The sequence below is a fragment of the Homo sapiens genome, chromosome 12 (assembly GCF_000001405.40).
Source record: "Homo sapiens chromosome 12, GRCh38.p14 Primary Assembly".
In the NCBI taxonomy this organism is placed as follows: Eukaryota; Metazoa; Chordata; class Mammalia; order Primates; family Hominidae; genus Homo; species Homo sapiens.
Window position 1 is genome coordinate 50,318,650 of NC_000012.12, and position 21,632 is coordinate 50,340,281.

General features: G+C 42.5%; 1 protein-coding gene across 1 annotated transcript in view; it reads right to left on the bottom strand.

Moving 5' to 3' along the window:
- Positions 1 to 8,659: 8,659 nt before the first annotated feature.
- The window catches only part of FAM186A (family with sequence similarity 186 member A), a 69,301-nt gene continuing 56,328 nt past the window's right edge, over positions 8,660 to 21,632 (bottom strand). The window contains exons 5-8 of the mRNA NM_001145475.3: positions 15,262 to 15,454; positions 13,021 to 13,172; positions 11,924 to 12,109; positions 8,660 to 8,755 (exon numbers count right to left, since the gene is read on the bottom strand). Of these exons, the coding sequence (NP_001138947.1) occupies positions 8,734 to 8,755; positions 11,924 to 12,109; positions 13,021 to 13,172; positions 15,262 to 15,454 (553 nt within the window). The 3' untranslated portion in view covers positions 8,660 to 8,733. The remainder of the gene's footprint in view (positions 8,756 to 11,923; positions 12,110 to 13,020; positions 13,173 to 15,261; positions 15,455 to 21,632) is intronic.

Consider the following 21,632-nt stretch of genomic DNA (forward strand, 5'->3'; position numbering starts at 1 on the left):
TCTATCTCACTGGGTTTTAAAAAATTTCTATAGTGTGTTAGGTCTTAATAGTTGTTATTATCACCCCCCTGTTTTTTGTTGTTGTTGTTGTTTTTGAGACAGAGTCTCACTCTATTGCCCAGGCTGGAATGTAATGGCACGATCTCAGTTCACTGCAACCTCAGCCTCCTGAGTAGCTGGGATTCCAGGCACATACCACCATGCCCGGCTAATTTTTGTATTTTTAGTAGAGTCACCATGTTGGCCAGGCTGGTCTCGAACTCCTGACCTCATGATCCGCCTGTCTCAGCCTCCCAAAGTGCTGGGATTACAGGTGTGAGCCACCACACCTGGCCTATTATTCCCCTTTTAACCTCCTTTTTTGAAATTGACTTATCTTTTCATTGACTACTTTTCCGTAATCACTTTAGAAAGAGTTTGTCACAGCTAGAAAAAGTTCCAGCTAACATTTTTAACATTTAAAAACATTTTCTGGCTCACGCCTGTAATCCCAGCACTTTGGGAGGCCGAGGCAGGCTGATCACTTGAGGCCAGGAGTTGGAGACTGGCCTGACCAACATGATGAAACCCTGTCTCTACTAAATATACACTAATCCCAGCTACTCAGGAGGCTAAGGCTGGAGAATCACTTGAACCTGGGAAGCAGAGGTTGCAGTGAGACGAGATCACACCACTGCACTCCAACCTAGGTGACAGAGTGACAGTCTGTCTGAAAAAAAGAAAAAAAAGTCCATTTTCTATATATTTAATATATTTGAATTTATAGATTAATTTGGGGAGAATCATTATCTTTACTAAGATAAGGTGTCTTATCTAAGAATGTAGTTTTTGTATGTGTGTTTTTTTTTGTTTTTTTGCTTTTTTGTTTGAGATGGAGTTTTGCTCTTGTTGCCCAGGCTGGAGTGAAATGGTGCCATCTCTGCTCACTGCAGATTGGCGCCTGGGATTACAGGCGCATGCCACCACACCGGGCTAATTTTTGTATTTTTAATAGAGACGAGGTTTCATCATATTGGTTAGGCTGGTCTCAAACTCCTGACCTCAGGTGATCCACCCACCTCGGCCTCCCAAGGTTCTGGGATTACAGGTGTGAGCCACCATGCCCGACCTTTTTTTTTTTTTTTTAAGATCTTTTTTTGTGTCATTTCACAAAGTTAAAAAATTTTCAGGATAAAGGTATTGTGCTATATATAGTAATATTTCTGTTTTTCTAAAGATTTTTCTTTTTTTTTTTTTTTTTTGAGACAGTTTCACTCTTGTTGCCCTGGCTGGAGTGCAATTGCACGATCTCGGCTCACTGCAACCTCCTCCTCCCAGGTTCAAGCAATTCTCCTGCCTCAGCCTCCCGAGTAGCTAGAATTACAGGTGCCCACCACTACGCCTGGCTAATTTTTTGTATTTTTAGTAGAGACGGGGTTTCACTGTGTTGGCCATTTATAAAGAATTTTAAAACGTAAATGTTTATTAGATGTTTTTATTCTGTACCTCTTGGGATGATCATGTGATTTTCCTTCTTTAATTCATAGATCCAGTTAATTAGATAGATAGTTGTCTCATGTTAAGCCATTCTTGTATTCCTGGAAGAAAACCTTAATTGTTGGGTTCAGTTGGATATTTATGTGCATCTTTTTAAAAAATCTATTTCCATCGGTGACTTCAGTTTATTTATTTATTGTTTTAAATAGAGTCTCGCTCTGTCTCCCAGGTTGGAGTGCAGTGGCAAGATTTCAGTTGACTGCAACCTCCGCCTCCCACGTTCAAGCGATTTTTGTGCTTTGCCTCCTGAGTAGCTAATTTTGTTTTGTATTTTTCATAGAGACAGAGTTTGGCCAGCCTGGTCATAAAGACAATGTTGGCCAGGCTGGTCTTGAACTTTTGGCCTCAAGTGATCCACCCGCCTAGGCCTCCCAAAGTACTGGGATAACAGGCGTGAGCCACCGCACCCAGCCAGTAACTTGAGTATATGATTCTCTTTTCTTATATGGTCTTAATCTGATTTTGAAATAAAGAGTAAAGCAGCTTCTCCTCTTTTCTAGAAAAACTTATTTGTTAAAAGGATTATTTGTTCTTTGAAGTCTTGGTAAAACTCACTGTAAAACCTGATCCGCCTAAAGCTTTTTTCTTTGGATAAGGTCTTTAATTACCAATTTATTTATAGATATTTATCTGTTCATACTTAATTTATTTTCCCAATTTTGACATTTTATATTTTCTAAAAACCATCTATTTATTTTTATTTTTGTTTTTTCTTATTCTTCTTCTTACCAAAAACGATCTAATTCATTTATTATTAAATGTATTAGTCTATAATTGACCATCATATGGTTTTCTATTTCTGTTGTATCTGTAGTAGTTCTCTTAATTTCATTATGTAATTTGATTATTTTCCTTCTTCTTTTTTTTTTTTGAGATGGAGTTTCGCTCTTGTTGCCCAGGCTAGAGTGCAATGGCGCAATCTCGGCTCCCCTAGCTGGGATTACAGGCATGCACAACCACACCCGGCTAATTTTGTATATTTAGTAGAGACGGGGTTTCTCCATGTTGGTCAGGCTGGCCTCGAACTCCCGACCTCAGGTGATCCTCCCACCTTGGCCTCCCAAAGTGCTGGGATTACAGGCATGAGCCACCGTGCCCGGCCATCATCTTTCTTTCTTAAGAAATCTTAGAGATTTTTTAGGCCAGGCGCAGTGGCTCATGCCTGTAATCCCAGCATTTTGGGAGGCCAAGGCGAGGCGAGCGGATCATGAGGTCAGGAGATTGAGACCATCCTGGCTAACACGGTGAAACCCCATCTCTACTAAAAATACAAAAAATTAGCTGGGCATGGTGGCACGCGCCTGTAACCCCAGCTACTTGGGAGGCTGAGGCAGGAGAATCGCTTGGACCCGGGAGGCGGAGGTTGCAGTAAGCCCGAGATTGTGCCACTGCACTCCAACCTGGGCGACAGAGTGAGACTCTGTCTCAAAAAAAAAAAAAAAAAGAAATCTTAGAGACTTTTTTATCTTACTAATCTTTATAAATAAGATAACAAAAATAAGTCCCAATATGACTGAAATTACGATAAATATTAATCCGTTATGTTGATCAATAAGAAAGCAGAAACTCAGATTGGATCTCAGACTGGATTTAAAAATTGAGGTCTAGCAATACACTATCTCTATACTATGAGATACGCTTAAAATGAAAGTATATGGGCAAGTTGTAAGTAAAAAGAAGTAAATAATACCAGCACTTTGGGAGGCCGATGCGGGCGGATCACGAGGTCAGGAGTTCGAGACCAGCCTGACCAACATGGTGAAACCCCGTTTCTACCAAAAATACAAAAATTAGCCAGGCATGGTGGTGTGCACCTGTAAACCCCGCTACTCAGGAGGCTGAGGCAGAAGAATCACTTGAACCCAGGAGGCGGAGGTTGCAGTGAGCCCAGATTGTGCCACTGCACTCCAGCTTGGGTGACAGAGCAAGACTCCGTCTCAAAAAAAAAAAAAAGATATAAATAGACATTTCATCCTAATATGAACACACACTCACATACCAGGAACAAACCAGGTAGCTATTTCCTATCAGATGAATTCAAACTAGAAATCAAGGCAAAAAGTATATCAGGGACAAAGCATAAGAAATAGGCTTGGTGCTGACCATCAGGAGCTCAGCCAAGTGGAGATATCAAGTAGATAGTTGGATATATAGCACTAGAATTCAGGGGCAAAGCTCAGAGGCAAAGTCAGAGCTGAGATATACATTTGGAGTCATCAGCATGTATATGGTATTTAAAGCCATAAGACTGGGTGAGATGCCGGGCGTGGTGACTCACACCCAGCACTTTGGGAGGCTGAGATGGGAAATAAATCAGACTAAAACTCAGGGACCTTCTACCTCCGTAAAATTTCTAGGGGTCCAGTGGTGTGGGGTCTGTCAAGATATTCCTTCTAAAGTGAAGGATAAGTTGTTGCATTTGCCCCTCCTACAACCAAGAAAGAGTCACAATGCCTAGTGGGCCTATTTGGATTTTGGGGGCAACACATTCCTCATTTGGGTGTGTTACTCCGGCCCATTTATTGACTGACCTGAAAGGCTGCCAGTTTTGAGTGGGTTCCAGAACAGGAGAAGGCTCTGCAACAGGTCCATTTTGCTGTGCAAGCTACTCTGCCATTTGGGCCATATGACCCAGCAGATCCAATGGTGCTTGAGGTGTCCGTGGCAGATAGGGATGCTGTTTGGAGCCTTTGGCAGGCCCCCATGGGTGAATCACAGCGGAGGTCTGTAGGATTTTGGAATAAGGCCCTGCCATCTTCTGTAGATAACTACTTTCATTTTGAGAGACAGCTCTTGGCCTGCTACTGGGCTTTGGTGGAAACTGAACATTTGACTATGGGTCATCAAGTCACCATGCGACCTGAACTGCCTATCATGAACTGGGTGCTTTCTGACCCATCCAGCTTTAAAATGGGTCATGCACAGCAGCATTCTGTCATCATATGGAAGTGGTATATACATGATCGGGCTCGAGCAGGTCCTGAAGGCACAAGTTACATGAGGAAGTGGCTCAAATGCCCATGGTCTCCACTTCTGCCACCCTGCCTTCTCTTCCCCAGCCTGCACCGATGGCCTCATGGGGAGTTCTCTATGATCAGTTGACAGAGGAAGAGAAGACTAGGGCCTGGTTCCAGATGGTTCTACACAATATGCAGGTACCACCTGAAAGTGGACAGCTGCAGCACTATAGCCCCTTTCTAGGACATCCCTGAAGGAGAGCAGTGAAGGGAAACCTTCCCAGTCGGCAGAACTTTGAGCAGTGCGCCTAGTTGTGCACTTTGCATGGAAGGAGAAATGGCCAGATGTGTGATTATATACTGATTCATGGGCTTTGGCCAATGGTTTGGCTGGATGGTCAGGGACTTGGGAGAAGAATGATTGGAACATTGGTGACAAAGAAATTTGAGGCTGGGCATGGTGGCTCACACCTGTAATCCCAGCACTTTGGGAGGCCGAAGTGGGTGGATCACGAGGTCAGGAGATTGAGACCATCCTGGCTAACACAGTGAAACCCCATCTCTACTAAAAATACAAAAAATTAGCCGGGCTAGGTGGCAGGCACCTGTAGTCCCAGCTACTCGGGAGGCTGAGGCAGGAGAATGGCATGAACCTGGGAGGCGGAGTTTGCACTGAGCCGAGATTGCCCTCCAGCCTGGGTGACAGAGCAAGACTCTGTCTCAAAAAAAAAAAAAAAATTTGGGGAAGAGATATGTGGATGGACCTCTCTGAGTGGTCACAAACTGTGATGATATTTGCATTCCATGTGAGTGCCCACCAGTGGGTGACCTTAGCAGAGGAGGAATTAAATAATCAAGTGGATAGGATGATCCGTTCTGTGGACACCACTCAGCCTCTTTCCCCAGCCACCCCTATTATCCCCCAATGGGCCCATGAAAAAAGTGGCCATGGTGGCAGGACTGGAGGTTATGCGTGGGCTCCGCAACATGGACTTCCACTCACCAAGGCTGACCTGGCTATGGCCACTGCTGAGTGCCCAATTTGCCAGCAGCAGAGACCAACACTGAGCCCTCGATATGACACCATTCCTCCAGGTGATCAGCCAGCTACCTGGTGGCAGTTTGATTATATTGGACTGCTTCCATCATAGGAAGGGCAGAGGTTTGTCCTCACTGGAATAGACACTTACTCCGGATATGGGTTTGCCTATCTTGCACGCAGTGCTTCCGCCAAGACTACCATCTGTGGACTCACAGAATGCCTTTTCTACCATCACGGTATCCCACACAGCATTGCCTCTGACCAAGACACTCACTTTACAGCTAAAGAAGTGCAGCAATGGGCTCATGCTCATGGAATTCACTGGTGTTACCATGTTCCTCATCATCCTGAAGCAGCTGGATTGATAGCATGGTGGAATGGCCTTTTGAAGTCACAATTATAATGCCAACTAGGTGACAATACTTTGCAGGTCTGGGGCAAAATTCTCCAGAAGGCCATGTATGCTCTGAATCAGCATCTAATATATGGGACTGTTTCTCCCATAGCCAAGACTCACAGGTCCAGGAATCAAGGTGGAAGTGGAAGTGGCACCACTCACCATCACCCCTAGTGATCCACTAGCAACATTTTTGCTTCTTCTTCCCACAACATTATGTTCTGCTGGGCCTAGAGGTCTTAGTTCCAGAGGGAGGAACGCTGCCATCAGGAGACAGAACAACGATTCCATTAAACTGGAAGTTAAGATTGCCACCTGGACACTTTGGGCTCCTCCTACCTTTAAGTCAACAGGGAGTTACAGTGTTGCCTGGGGTGACTGACCCGGACTATCAAGATGAAATCTGATATAAGTCTACTGCTCCACAATGGAGATACGGAAGAGTATGCATGGATACAGGAGATCCATTAAGGCATCTCTTAGTATTACCATGCCCTGTGATTAAGGTCAATGGGAAACTACAACAGCCCAATCCAGGCAGGACTACAAATGGTCCAGACCCTTCAAGAATGAAGGTTTGGGTCACTCCACCAGGAAAAAAACCATGACCTGCTGAGGTGTTTGCTGAAGGCAGAGGGAATACAGAATGGGTAGTAGAAGAAGATAGTCATCAATACCAGCTACAACCATGTGACCAGCTACAGAAATGAGGACTGTCATTGTCATGAGTATTTCCTCCTTCTTTTGTTAAAAACATGTTTGTGTGTATATACACTTGTACTAAGAAACTATTTTCATTTTATTTCCTTTTCCTTTATCATGTGACATAAGATTTATTGACTTCATATCAGCATTTAAGTATTGTTAACTTTATATAACAGTATTTGGGTTGGGGATTGGTGTCTTTCTGGTTGTACAAGGGATAGTCATATTATGTTAAGTGTAATTATGATATTATTGTTTTTATTTGAAGATTATGTATGATCTCAGGAGATGTGTTCAAGTTGACAAGGGGTGGACTTGTGATGGTTAATACTGAGTGTCAACTTGATTGGATTGAAGGATGCAAAGTACTGATCCCGCATGTGCCTGTGAGGATGTTGCCAAAGGAGATTAACATTTGAGTCAGTGGGCTGGAAAAGGCAGACCCACCCTTAACTGGGTGGGCACAATCTAATCAGCTTCCAGTGAATATAAAGCAGGCAGAAAAATGTGAAAAGGAGAGAGATGAGAGACGGGCCTAGCCTCCCAGCCTATACCTTTCTCCCATGCCGGATGCTTCCTGACCTTGAACATTGAACTCCAAGTTCTTCAGTTTTGGGACTTGCACTGGCTCTCCTTGCTCCTCAGCTTGTAGACAGCTTATTGTGCAACCTTGTGATTGTGTAAGTTAATACTTAATAAACTCCCCTTTATATATATCCTATTAGTTCTGTCCCTCTAAGAGAAGCCTGACTAATACAATCCCCGTGTTGGAAGCCTGGCCCTCCGCTGTACAGAGTTATTGAGGAAGGAGAACAGGGTCTGGAGGCAGCAAACCTAAGGCTGCACGCCAACTTCCTAGAACTAAATGAAAAGGAAACCCCTAACTTTCCACACACCTAAGTAACAAAAGGACCAGAGGCTACTCCCTTTAACCTTTTTCTGTGAGGCAGATGGGAAATTGGCTGCCCTCAATGAATCAGACTGATTGCAGGCCAGTCTTTGTTTGCATAAAAGTGTAACTTTGAGACCTGGCGTGGTGGCTCATGCCTGTAATCCCAGCACTTTGGGACGGCAAGGCAGGTGGATCACCTCAGGCTGGGAGTTCGAAACCGCCTGACCAACATGGAGAAACACTGTCTCTACTAAAAATACAAAATTAGCCAGGCATGGTGGTGCATGCCTGTAAACCCAGCTACTCGGGAAGCTGAGGCAGGAGAATCGCTTGAACCTGGGAGGCAGAATTTCAAGAACCGAGATCGCACCATGGCACTCCAGCCTGGGCAACAAGAGCGAAACTCTGTCTCAAAAAAAAAAAAAAATAGGAGTATAAGTTTGTAACTTCACCCTAGCCTCTGATTGGTTGCTTTTTGCTGCAACCAATCAGACTGATTGCAGGCTACCGCTTTATTTACATGAGGTGAGCATGAAGTGATCAATAGGCAACTTCTAGAGGGTATTTGGACCCAAGAAGATTCTGTATCCAGGTCCTTGAGCAGCTGCTCGGGCCACTCCTGCACTGTGGAGTGTACTTTTGTTCTCAATAAATCCCTGCTTTCGTTCTTCTGTTGCTTCATTCTTTATTTGCTTTGCTGGGCATTTTGCCCAATTCTTTGTTCAAAATGCCAAGAACCTGGACAACTTGCAGTCACAACCCTCTACTGGTAACATTATGATTTCCCTTCATTACCAATCATAACCACCTTCTAATTCTTCAGGGGTGTCTGCTGGTTTTTAGTTTCCTTCATTATACTCATTTATTTCTTCCTTCTGAGGCATCTTCGGGTTTAGACTGGGAAAGGCAGACTGTGCCACTTTGCCATCATGTTAGGGGCCCATAATGATGTCCCTTTCATGACTCAGCCTACCCCAGGGTTGTTGAACCTTTGTGTTTCCAGTAATGTAGAGCAGAAGATACTCTTTCTTGAGTGGTCATAGTAGTAGCCCAGAAATGAAGATGTTCAACCTGAAGAACTGCAAGGAGAATATAAAAGCAAAGGAAAGACAAAGCAATATATACGCATGAAAGAGAACAAAATAGGCATTTTACTGAAAGATACTGAAATGTACTTTCAACATGCTTGTATTTAATTTTACAGTCATTTGGGAATCTTCTTAACCCTGGAAATGAGACAAGAAAATTAACCTCATTATAAATTGCTTTAAACACATTTGTGGGAATATAGGTGAGTCATAGGGAAAATAAAAGTGCCTCCAGAACTCAAAAAGATAAACTAGTAAAATCTGTATGTAATCCTTTTTTTTTTTTTTTTTTTGAGACAGGGTCTCCTACTGTCACACAGGCTGTAGTACAGTGGTGCCATCTCAGCTCACTGCAACCTCTGCTCCCTGGGCTCAAGCAATCCTCCCACCTCAGCCTCCCAAGTAGCAGGGACCACAGGTGCACACCACCACACCTGGCTGTTTTTTTTGTACTTTTGGTACAGACTGGGGTCTTGCCATGTTGCCCAGGTTGGTCTTGAACTCTTGAGCTCAAGCAATCTACCCGCCTTGGCCTCCCAAAGTGCTGGGATTACAGGTGTGAGCCACTGTGCCTGGCCTGTAATCCATATATATAAAGTTACATAAAGGTGACAGAATGCCTTGAAGACCCAAAATCGGGAAGAAAAGGACTTGGCAATAGCTTATTGCTTATTAGACAGTATTCTTATACCTAAAGTTAGAACATGGCTTAAATATTGATAATTAATGATTGTTATTTCCAAGGATAGACCTGTCTGTATTTTTTAAATTTTCAGTGAACATGCATTACTTAGGCAATTGGAAAAAACTGAATATTATTTTAATGGAATTTTTGTAGGAAAATAATTATATAAATATACAAAGTACTTCAAAGATATTTGGTGTAGCATTGTTTGCAATGTTGAAAAATATCCAAATTTCTATCAGTAGGAGAACAATTCAATAAATTATGATATATCTATACAATGGGCCAGGTGTGCCTGTAATCCCAGCTACTTGGGAGACTAAAGCAGGAGGGGATCACTTGACCCCAGAAGTTCAAGGTTACAGTGAGCTATGATTGTGCCACTGCACTCTAGCCTGAATGACAGAGCACGACCACGTCTCTAAAAACAAACAAAAATACAGATCTACAATGAATATCACACAACCAACAAAATGATGATGTAGCTCTATATTTATTAGCATAGAAAAATTTCAAAGCTGTACTGTTTAATGAAACATATAGTAGGTTTTATTTTTTATTTTATTTTATTTTTTATTTTGAGAGAGTCTTTGTTGCCCAGGCTGGAGTGCAGTGGAGCGATCTCGGCTCACTGCAACCTCTGCCTCCCAGACTCAAGCCATTCTCATGCCTCAGCCTCCTGAGTAGCTGGGACTACAGGTGTGTGCCACCATGCCCAGCTAATTTTTTGTATTTTTAGTAGAGACAGGGTTTCACCAAGTTGGCCAGGCTGGTCTCAAACTCCTGGCCTCAAGTAATCCACCTGCCTCAGCCTCTCAAAGTGCTGGATTACAGGCATGAGCCACCACTCCTGGCCTCGAAGTAGGTTTTAAAACATGTCCAGGCCGGGCACGGTGGCTCACGCCTGTAATCCCAACCTTTTGGGAGGCCAAGGCGGGTGGATCACCTGAGGTCAAGAGTTCAAGACCAGCCTGGCCAACATGGTGAAGCCTCATCTCTACTAAAAATACAAAAAAAATTAGCTAGGCATGGTGGCATGCACCTGTAGTCCCAGCTACTTGGGGAGGCTGAGGCAGGAGAATCACTTGAACCCAGGAGGCAGAGGTTGCAGTGAGCCAAGATTGCACCACTGCACTCTAGCATGGACGACAGAGGAAGACTCCGTCTCGAAAATGAATAAATAAATAAAAATAAAATAGTAAACTGGAAATAAGAGTCTGCAGGGATTTAGCATGAGTAAGAAGTGGTTAGGTCAGAAGGATATCTGACACTTGAAGCTAGTAATGGAATGTAAGGAAAATGAAACTTAAAAATTTACATATTTTGTCCCAAAGCCCTATAATCATTAAATTAACAATATTATCTCTCAAAATAACCTAAATTAATTAATTTAATCGCTATAAAAGGGAAAATCAGAGACCAGAAAAAATGTTGCTTTCTGATTATAACCTAAGAGTCATGCTTATTCAACTTAATGGTTACATTTGGTTTAATAACTGTTTTCCATAAACTCGTGCTCATGATATATGACTTTATACTGTATACATCAAATAGTAATATTTTTCTTAATATTTTCCTGTATTATAGAATTTTAAATGTCTTATTTTATGCTGTCTGCCACCTGGACAAATTTGTGAATTAACACTACTTTTTTTTTTTTTTTTGAGACAGAGTCTCACTCTATTGCCCAGGCTGGAGTGCAGTGGCACAATCTGGGCTCACTGCAACCTCCACCTCCTGGGCTCAAGCAATTCTCCTGTCTCAGCCTCTGAGTAGCTGGGATTACAGACGTACACCATCATGCCCAGCTAATGTTGTATTTTTAGTAGAGACAGGGTTTCACTATGTTGGCCAGGTTGGTCTGAAACTCCTGACCTCAGGCGATCCACCCGCCTCGGCCTCCCAAAGTGTTGGGATTACAGGCATGAGCCACCACACCTGGCCTAACACTACTTCTTACGTGAGGACTTAGATTTCACCAAAATAAATCAGACTGCTCCTGTGAACTCTTGCAGATTAACAAAAGTTCGATTTTCTAAATTCTTGATTTAGAATATTAAATAATTATCTGTCCTGAAAGAGTTAATGCAGACTCTAAAGCCCTTATTTCCTCTGGAATAATTTCTAGTGGTTTAAGTGAGAATCTGGTTCAACAGATTTTGGAAATGTGGAGTCATCTCTTCAGTGTATCCTAGGAAGTAAACACCTAATTTACTCAATTTGGGTCTAGATATGATAATTGCACTTAAGCTCATGTCACTGAATCATAATATGGAGAAAAGCATTCTACAATGGTCTTTCTGGTACTTCTATTAACAAATCCCCAAGGATGGAATTAAAAGTGGACCTATCTAGTGTTAGATTAGATTCATGGTATTATAACTGGTTTTTTGTTTGTTTTACATTATTCAGTGGTGACATCTATAGGCCTATGATTAGAAACACTAACAGACTAATGCTGAATTTACCTGTACTATTTTATGACTGGTGTGAGTCTAACCTCATACCAAACATTACTTTTGGTTGATGTACCTGGTGCTACAGGAGAAAGTCAAGTTAGGGAACCAAAAGGTATATGATCAAAGGCCCAATTACCAGAGTGCTTCCAGTCCATAACTTACCGTGATTGGAGGGATGCAAGAGATTTTCGGAAGGTAGACTGCACTTCTAACTGAAGCAGCCTGGGAATATCTGGGTACCCACCCAGCTGGGCCCAGAGTGAATGCATAGATGTCTTCTCTGCTATTGGGTAGCTTGAAGTGGACAGATCAACATTCCAGATGGCCTCTGTCTGGTCCTCTTGTTGCCTACAGAATCAGCATAAATTGGGAACGCCAAATTCTCCTGAGCTCCATAGCCCATCAAAATATATCTTATTCTCCCCTCTTCACTGCCACCTTGTCCTATAATGCCTTCCCCTTGCACTGACCAGCATTAGCTATGCCCACTTTGACAGAGAGATGGATGAAAAAGCAGAATTCGCTGAGTTACCAAAGCTGCATTTGCATGGCTTCACCTAGTAATCCATTTTAAAACTACCATTTTAGCTTCATGGCGTAGAGAGACCACATAACTTGCCCCCTTCCTTCCCAAAGCTCCTGCCTCCTTAAAAAAAAATAGAAGAAAAAGAGAAGATAATGCTTCTAAGTTTCTTTATTAAATATTCTTAAAAGAATTTGTTTTTTAGTAAGAAAGAATCAGCTTTATTTTTAGAGGAACTCACAATCCAATGTTAAATATTTAAGTAGAAATATATGTAAATTAACCTCTTGCCAATTTAGCTAAGGGAATTAATACTCTTTTTTTTTGAGACAGAGTTTCGCTGTTGCCCAGGCTGGAGTGCAATGGCACGATCTCGGCTCACCGCAACCTCTGCCACCCAGGTTCAAGCGATTCTCCTGTCTCAGCCTCCCAACTAGCTGGGATTACAGGCATGCACCACTATGCCGGGCTAATTTTGTACTTTTTTTAGTAGAGATGGGGTTTCTCCATGTTAGTCAGGCTGGTCTTGAACTCCCGACCTCAGATGAGTCACCTGCCTCGGCCTCCCAAAGTGCTGGGATTACAGGCATGAGCCACCGCGCCCAGCCTAATACTCCTTTAGACTCTCCATTGCACCATTTGATAATTGTGGAGAAAGGGAAGTTCTTGGGCAGGGAAAAAAAAATTAGGTCCCACATATCGTCCAAAGTTTAATATCAGTCTTTCTAGCACATACCTAAATTTCTTGCATATGTCAGAGGTTCTGTCCTCTTCCATTAGTAATTTTAAGAATGGCTTTTGAACAAATGTGGTAGAGGCAGGTATCTGCTTTTCTTCGATGATTAAGGGGATAGGTTGACTAAGATTCAATTCATGTATCTTTTTGAGCTATAAAAAAAAATAGATCAGAAAAAGGAAACCATGAAAAGAGACAGAATCTTTAGAAGGGTCTTCAGAGCTGGCCCTAGACTAAACTGTGACTCCTCCTTTTCCATGGATTTGCAAATCCTCTCCCTACTCCACCCACCTCCAACATGCATCATTTTAGAGGTGGCAGCTCTGCTACATAAAAACCTTTGTCCTACTTAAGCTTAAGTCCTGGTCCTCTTATTTTCTTGCTGTGAGACTTTGGGATAGTTGCTTAATTTATCTGCACTTCTTTCTCCTCATTTCTAAAACAGGGATAATAACACAGGGTTGTGAGAATTGTAAAACACAGTATATATGGAAGCACTTTATAAATTGTGATGCAGTATGCAACTGTAATGATAGCCAGCATTTACTAAATACTTAGTGAATGTCAGACACTGAACTAAGCATTTTCCATATATTAGCTGATTTGGTATTTATAACAACCTTATGCGGTATGTCTTATAATTACCCTTGTCTTACAGCAGGAAAATCTGAGGCTCAGAAAATGTAAGCGGCTTGCATAAAGTCACTTAGCTAGTATGTAGCTAGCCTGATTTGAACCCAGACAATCTGGTAGCGGAGCTAGCCATCTTGACCACCATGCTGATTCAGTGCAAAGTATTCATTCATATCTAACCTCTTATCCCTTTTGCTTTTTTTGTCTCCTTTCTCCAAGCCTTGATACCCATACCTCATCCTCTGGATTCTGGCTTCCCTGGCCCCAGACCCTTATTCCTCCTCTGAAATGCCCTAGGCATTGTGATTCCTGTTAGATAACGCATGTTGCTGCCAACCCATCTTGCTTTACTCTATGTACATTGGCCATATTTGCCAAATCAAAAAAAGGAGAATATTCATTTTTTTGACAAAGAGCTGTAATATTTAAAATATAACTGTTCTGGGCCGGGCACGGTGGCTCAAGCCTCTATCCCAGCACTTTGGGAGGCTGCCATGGGCGGTTCACTTGAGGTCAGGAGTCCAAGACCAGCCTGGCCAACATGGTGAAACCCCATCTCTACTAAAAATACAAAAATTAACCAGACATGGTGGCAGGCACCTGTAATCCCAACTACTCGGGAGGGTGAGGCAGGAGAATCACTTGAACCCAGGAGGCGGAGGTTGCAGTGAGCCGAGATCACGCCACTGCACTCCAGCCTGGGTGACACAGTGAGACCTCATCTCAAAAATAAATAAATAAATAAATAATAAAATAAAATATAACAGTTCTGAAAATTTACAATATATGTTTGACTTGGATTAGGCTCTGATGAGAAGCCTCTCTGTACCTTCCAAAGTAGCAAGTAAACTAATCTTATAAATTAATCGATTTTAAGGAAAGACAAGGATATACAGATATAAAATGTTTCTAGAACCACAGCTTGTAATATTTACTATAAGAACTCAGGCCAGGCGTGGTGGCTCACGCCTGTAATCCCAACACTTTGGGAGGTTGAGGCGGGTGGATCACCTGAGGTCAGGAATTCGAAACCAGCCTGGCCAACATGGTGAAACCCCATCTCTACTAAAAATATAAAATTTAGCTGGGCATGGTGGTGGGCGCCTGTAATCCCATCTACTCGGGAGGCTGAATCAGGAGAATCTCTTGAATCCAGGAGGTGGAGTTTGCACCGAGTCGAAATAGTGCCACTGTACTCCCTGGGAGACAGAGCAAGACTGTCTCAAAAAAACGAAAAACAAAGCAAAACAAAAAAAAAGGCCATTTGAAAGATGGAGGCGGAGATTGGAATTATGTGGCTACAAACTGAGGAATGCTAAGGATTGCCCATAGCCACCACAATCTAGGAGAGAAGCATGCAACAGAATGCCCTCTCAGAGCTTCTAGAAGGAACCAACCTGGCAGACACCCTGATTTCACTAACTTCTGGCCTCTAGAACTGTGAGAGAGTAAATTTCTGTTGTTTTAAGCTATGAAGTTTGTGGTAATTTGTTACAGCAGCCCAGGAAAGTAATATGACATGGTGTCTCCAGGTAAATGTCATTTACAAAGCTTACCACTTTCATGTTTTTACAACATGCTGGACAGAGGGAGTGGAAAGCAGGTTACCTGGTTGAATACGTGTATCATTTTCTTCAGGCACTGATTCCGTTTCTGCCCTAGAGACTTCTGCTTCTCAGTCCAGACCTGCATCACCTTTTTCCCGTAGTCATCAAGTCTGCTCAGCATCATGTGGAGGTTCCTGGCCTCATAGCCTTTCCCAGTATTTTGGATGGCTTTTAGTCGTTTCATTATGTTGTTCCTTGAAAAGATTAATAAAAATTAGAGCGATAATAGTTGCAGACCCTACTTCAACAAACTTGTCCTCAGTTTCTTTTTTTTTTTTGAGACGGAGTTTCGATCTTGTTGCCCAGGCTGGAGGTGCAATGGTGCAATCATGGCTTATTGCAACCTCCACCTCCTGGATTCAAGAAATTATCCTGCCTCAGCTTCCTGAGTAGCTGGGACTACAGGTGCGCACCACCATGCCCAGCTAATTTTTGTATTTTTAGTAGAGACGGGGTTTCTCCATGTTGGTCAGGCTGGTCTCAAACTCCTGACCTCGTGATCCACTTTCCTTGTCCTCCCAAAGTGCTGGGATTACAGTCCTGAGCCACTGAGCATGGCCTCTTTTTAATTTAATTTTATTTTTTTGAGACAGAGTCTCACTCTGTTGCCCAGGCTGGAGTGCAGTGGTGTGATCTTGACTCACTGCAACCTCTGCCTCATGGGTTCAAGCGATTCTCATGCCTCAGCCTCCCAAGTAGCTGGGAATACAGGTGTGCACCACCACGCCCAGCTAATTTTTGTATTTTTAGTAGAGATGGGGTTTTGCCATGTTGTCCAGGCTGGTCTTGAACTCTTGACCTCAAGCGATCCTCCTGCCACAGCCTCCCAAAATGTTGGGATTACAGGAGTGAGCCACTATGCCCAACCTGTCCTCAGTTTCTTTCAATTCTCTCATCATCCCCAGTAAGTAGAGAAGGATGGGAAGCTTGCTTAATAAGACTTTAATCCAGTTCCTATGAATGAACCTTCAAAAATCTATATGATTATCAAAATTTTCATTAAGTCTTCACAAAATTTCCAGTGTTAAAATAGTGTTGCTTACAATTATTTTAATATATTTTAAAAATTATGCCAGGTGAAGTGGCTCATGCCTGTAATCCCAGCACTTTGGGAGGCTGAGGTGGGAGGATCGCTTGAGGCCAGGAGTCTGTGACCAGCTTGGGCAATATAGTAAGACTCCGTCTCTGCAAAATAAAAATAGCTGGGCATGGTGGCACATACCTGTAGACACAGCCACTCAGGAGGCTGAGGTGAGAGGCTTGCTTGAGCCTAGGGAGTTCGAGGCTGCAGTGAGTTATGATCACGCCATTACATTCACCTTTTTGTTAAGGGCAAGACTCCAACTCTTAAAAAATTAGTTAAATGTGGCTATTTGTAATAAAAATTACCTTAGGGGATAAGATAGATCATTTTTTTCATATGTATAGATATGTGTAAGACACATAGAAGGTAAGGCCGGGCACAGTGTCTCACGCCTGTAATCCAAGCACTTTGGGAAGCCAAGGCTGGTGGATCACAAGGTCAAGAGTTCAAGAGCAGCCTGGCCAACATGGTGAAACCCCATCTCCTCTAAAAACACAAAAATTAGCCAGGTGCGGTGGCAGGTGACTGTAATCCCAGCTACTTGGGAGGCTGAGGCAGAAGAATCACTTGAACCCGAGCAACAGAGGTTGCAGTGAGCCGAGATCGTGCCACTGCACTCCAGCCTGGGCAACAGAGTGTGAGATCCTATCTCAAAAAAAAAAAAATGACACATAGAAAGTACTTAATACAATTATGGAAAAGACAGTGTCCTTGCCTTCAAAAGCACTTATAATCCAGAATAGGACACTACGTTACTTGTAAAAAAAAAGAAATAGAATGAAATAAATGCTAACTAAATAGGCTGCAGGAGCAAAAAGGAAAGCATAGTTAATTCCAGTAAGGGTAATAAGGCCGGGCGCAGTGGCTCATGCCTGTAATCCCAGCACTTTGGGAGGCCGAGGTGGGCAGATCACGAGGTCAGGGGCTCCAGACCAGACTGACCAACATGGTGAAACCCTGACTCTACTAAAAAATACAAAAATTAGCCCGGTGTGATGGCGGGCGCCTATAGTCCCAGCTACTCAGGAGGCTGAGGCAGGAGAATCACTTGAACCTGGGAGGTGGAGGTTGCAGTGAGCCGAGACCACACCATTGCACTCCAGCCTGGGTGACAGAGTGAGACTCCATCTCAAAAAAAAAAAAAAGAGTAATAAAGAAGGCTTTATAGGAAGGTGTCAAGCAGAATTTTGAGGGACAGTCATAAAAAGATTCTCCCTTTCTCTCTCTCTCCCTACTGCCCTCCTATAATGTATTCCACCACATTTTGGTGGTCCTAAACAGAGTTTTGCCATCCTCATTCTACAGAAGAGGAAAAGAAATCTCAGCAAAGTTAAGTGTTTTTTCTAATGTCCCATAATTGATAAATGGTAGATTTGGGAAGCAAGCCCAGAACTTCTTTCTTCCACAATGCCAATATTTCTCAAGGTGCGGACTCTGATCACCTAGACTGAACCATATGGGGTAGACGGGTGGGGTGCTTGTTGAAAATGCAGGTTCCAAGGTCCTTCTCCATACCTTTTGAATCAAAATCTTAGTGGTAGGCTTCAGGAATCTGCATTTTAAAATCTCAGGTAACTCTTACTTTACTAAAGTTTGAAAACCATTGTGCTTACGGACAGAACAGGGAAGAAGGGGATGAGGAAGTCCAGGTGGAGAAATCCCATAAACAAAGGTAAGAAAACGAAAGTTATATTTTGAGAGTGATGAGTAGTCTGGGGTTTTTGACCACAGATATGTGAAAGGATATAGTGGGGGATGAGACTGGAATGGTTGGATAGTGAAAGATGAAAGGCTTTCAAAGGTATGTTAAGGAGTTTGGATCTTCTCTTATTTTTTTTTTTGGTAGATGATGGGGACCCATCAAAGACATTTTTCTAAATATATGTATTTTATATACATGCGTATATATATATATTGCCTCAGGTGAATCAGTGAGATTTACCTGAGATTTTATTTATCCATCTCTATCTATATTGAGAGAGAAGAGAGAAAGAATAATTCTTAGCTCTTAGGTTTCTTTTGTGGGTTATAATGAATACTTTAGAACCTACTATATATATGGATCATTTAATACTTAAATTATTATATTTGTATTTAATATTTAAACATATTAGATTTTTTAATTTTCCAATAAGCCTCTTCACACCAAATATTTCCTGACATTTTTCTGTCTAATTACACAGGCTTTTGAGATTTCCTTATCATTTTTTCTTATTGAAATCATATTTCACTGCTTGGAAAAGTTTAACTTCAAACTTAGGGACTTTATTGTTGGATGTAGTTTTAGAGATAATTCTTTTTTTTTTTTTTTTTTTTTTTTAGACAGGGTCTCTCTTTGTCACCCAGGTTGGAGTGCAGTGGCGCGATCTTGGCTCACTGCAGCCTTGACCTTGTGAGCTCAAGCCATCCTCCCACCTCAGCCCCCCTCGGTAGCTGGGACTATAGGCACACCGTCAGGCCTGCCAATTTTTTTTTTTTTTTTTTAAGTAGAGATGGGGTTTTACCATATTGCCCAGGCTGGTCTTTAACTCCTGGGACCAAGTGATCCGCCCACCTCGGTTCCCAAAGTGCTGGGATGACAGGCATGAGCCTGGTGAGAGAATTCATTTTTAATAATCTGAAGGCCGGGCGCGGCGGCTCACGCCTGTCATCCCAGCACTTTGGGAGGCTGAGGCGGGCGGATCACAAGGTCAAGAGATCGAGACCATCCTGGCCAACACGGTGAAACCCCGTCCCTACTAAAAATACAAAAATTAGCTGGGCGTGGTGGCAAGCGCCTGTAGTCCCAGCTACTCGGGAGGCTGAGGCAGGAGAATTCCTTGAAACTGGGAGGTGGAGGTTCCAGTGAGCCAAGATGGCGCCACTGCATTCCAGCCTGGCGACAGAGCAAGACTTCGTCTAAAAACAAACAAACAAACAAATAAACAAACAAAATCTGAGCATTCAATCCAGTAGTAACCATGGGGGTATCTTATTATTTAAAAGCCTCTATCTAGAATCATGGCTATTCATCCTCCTTACCTTTTGTTTCCACTGTCTTAGCCAATCCCACTTACGTTGATAAAACATTGCCCCGTCCTAAGGAATATTGATTTTTAGATAGAGATTCTTTACATTTACTGAGCATCTACTATGGTAATACTACTACTGTACTACTACTGTTGTGCTGCAAGCTACATATGTTATTTTATTTAACCCTTTCAACCTTTCATTTTATTTTATTTTGAGACAGAGTTTCGCTCTTGTTGCCCAGGCTGGAGTACAATGGTGCAATCCCAACTCTCTGTAACCTCCGCCTCCAGGGTTCAAGCAATTCTCTTGCCTCAGCCTCCCGAGTAGCTAAGATTACAGGCTGCACCACCACGCCCATCTAATTTTTGTATTTTTAGCAGAGACGGGGTTTCACCATGTTGGCTAGGCTGGTCTCGAACTCCAGACCTCAGGTGATTCACCCGCCTCAGCCTCCCAAAGTGCTGGGATTACAGGCATGAGCTACCATGCCTGGCCTCAACCATTATTTGAAGTAAATATTATTATATCCATTTTACATGCAACACATTTAAGTCTCAGAGAAGTTCTGGAAATTTGAACCAAGATCTGCTTGACTTCAAAGTCTATGTTTAAGAGAAAGCATGATTAGGATTTAAATATAAAAACCATTACAGTTACTACTTTAAGACAGTGTAGTATAATAGGTAGTATAGTATACTATATAGACTTTGGAAATGGATTTTTAAAAATTCACTTCTACCAATTATTAGCTGTGTGATTTGGGCAAATAGGATGACCTTTCTGAACCTGATTCCCATTCTTCCAGTTAAATGCAATAATATATCTGAAGTTTGTGTTTGTTGTAGATGCATTATAAGCCCCTGTATGCACATAACTAAATTTACATAATTTATTTTCATTTAGTTTCTCCTTGTCAGTGTTTCCTCCAACAATTCCAGATTAGATTAGCATGATTCTCCTATAAAATTTATATTTCCTTTAGTCTATCCATTTTTACTGTTTCAAGACTGTAGTAATTTTTTTTTTTGAGACAGGGTCTCACTGTGTTGCCCAGGCTGGAGTGTAGTGGTGCATCCATGGCTCACTGCAACCTCAACCTCTCAGGCTCATGGGATCCTCCCACCTCAGCCTACCAAGTAGCTGGGACCACAGGCATACATACCACCACGCCTGGCTAATTTTTATAATTTTTGTAGAGACAGGGTCTCACTATGTTGCCCAGGCTGGTCTTGAACTCCTAGGCTCAAGCAATTCCTCCATTTTGGCCTCTCAAAGTGCTGGGATTACAGGCGTGTACCACCAGACCGGGCTGATTTTACTTTTTATTTAGACTTCACCAGCTTGCCTGGCATGGATGCCCTTGTTTAGTAGGAGTTACACTGTTGATATATCACCTTAGCATAGAATCCTTTTAAAACAACTGTAAATATTTTCCTAGTAATTCTACTCTCACCCTTATATTCTTTCAAAACATTTAGGTGGATGCCACCTAGTCCTAATTTATGCCTCTGTATGAGCTTTACTCTTCTTAAATCTGTCTTCCACATTACTGGCATTTTACTTCCCTTGCTAAGAATTCTTTAGTTATCCTCTATTAAGTACGGAATTAAATACAAGTTCCTTAGCATGTGATTTAGGATTCTCTTTTATCTTGCCTCTCTTTTATCTTTCCAGTCTCATCTCTTACTACATTTTGCTTTTTCTTTGTGTTCTAAGTATTAGCCACAAAGTACTTTACACACACACACACACACACACACACACACACACACACAGAGCTTCTTCCTGCTGCCTTTCTTTACTCTGCTACACTCTCTGACTTCTTTGTTTTCCTGACTTTTTCTTTTTTTGAGACAGAGTCTTACTCTGTCACCCAGGCTGGAGTGCAGTGGCGCAATCTCGGTTCACTGCAACCACCGCCTCCTGGGTTCAAGCGATTCTCCTGCCACAGCCTCCCAAGTAGCTGGGATTACAGGCACCTGCCATCGTGCCTGGCTAATTTTTTTATTTTTAGTAGAGATAGGGTTTCACCATGTTGGTCAGGCTGGTCTCAAACTCCTGACCTTAAGCAATCCACCCACCTCGGCCTCCCAAAGTGCTGGGATTACAGGCGTGAGCCACAGTGCCCTGCCTGTCTTACTGACTTTTACTGGTTCTTTGAGGCACAGTTCAGAGGTCTGAACTCCCAGAAGCTGTACCTAACTCCCGCCTCTCCTCAGTCCTCTTCTATAACTGCACATGCGCCATTATTGTACTTTCCACATCATACGATATAA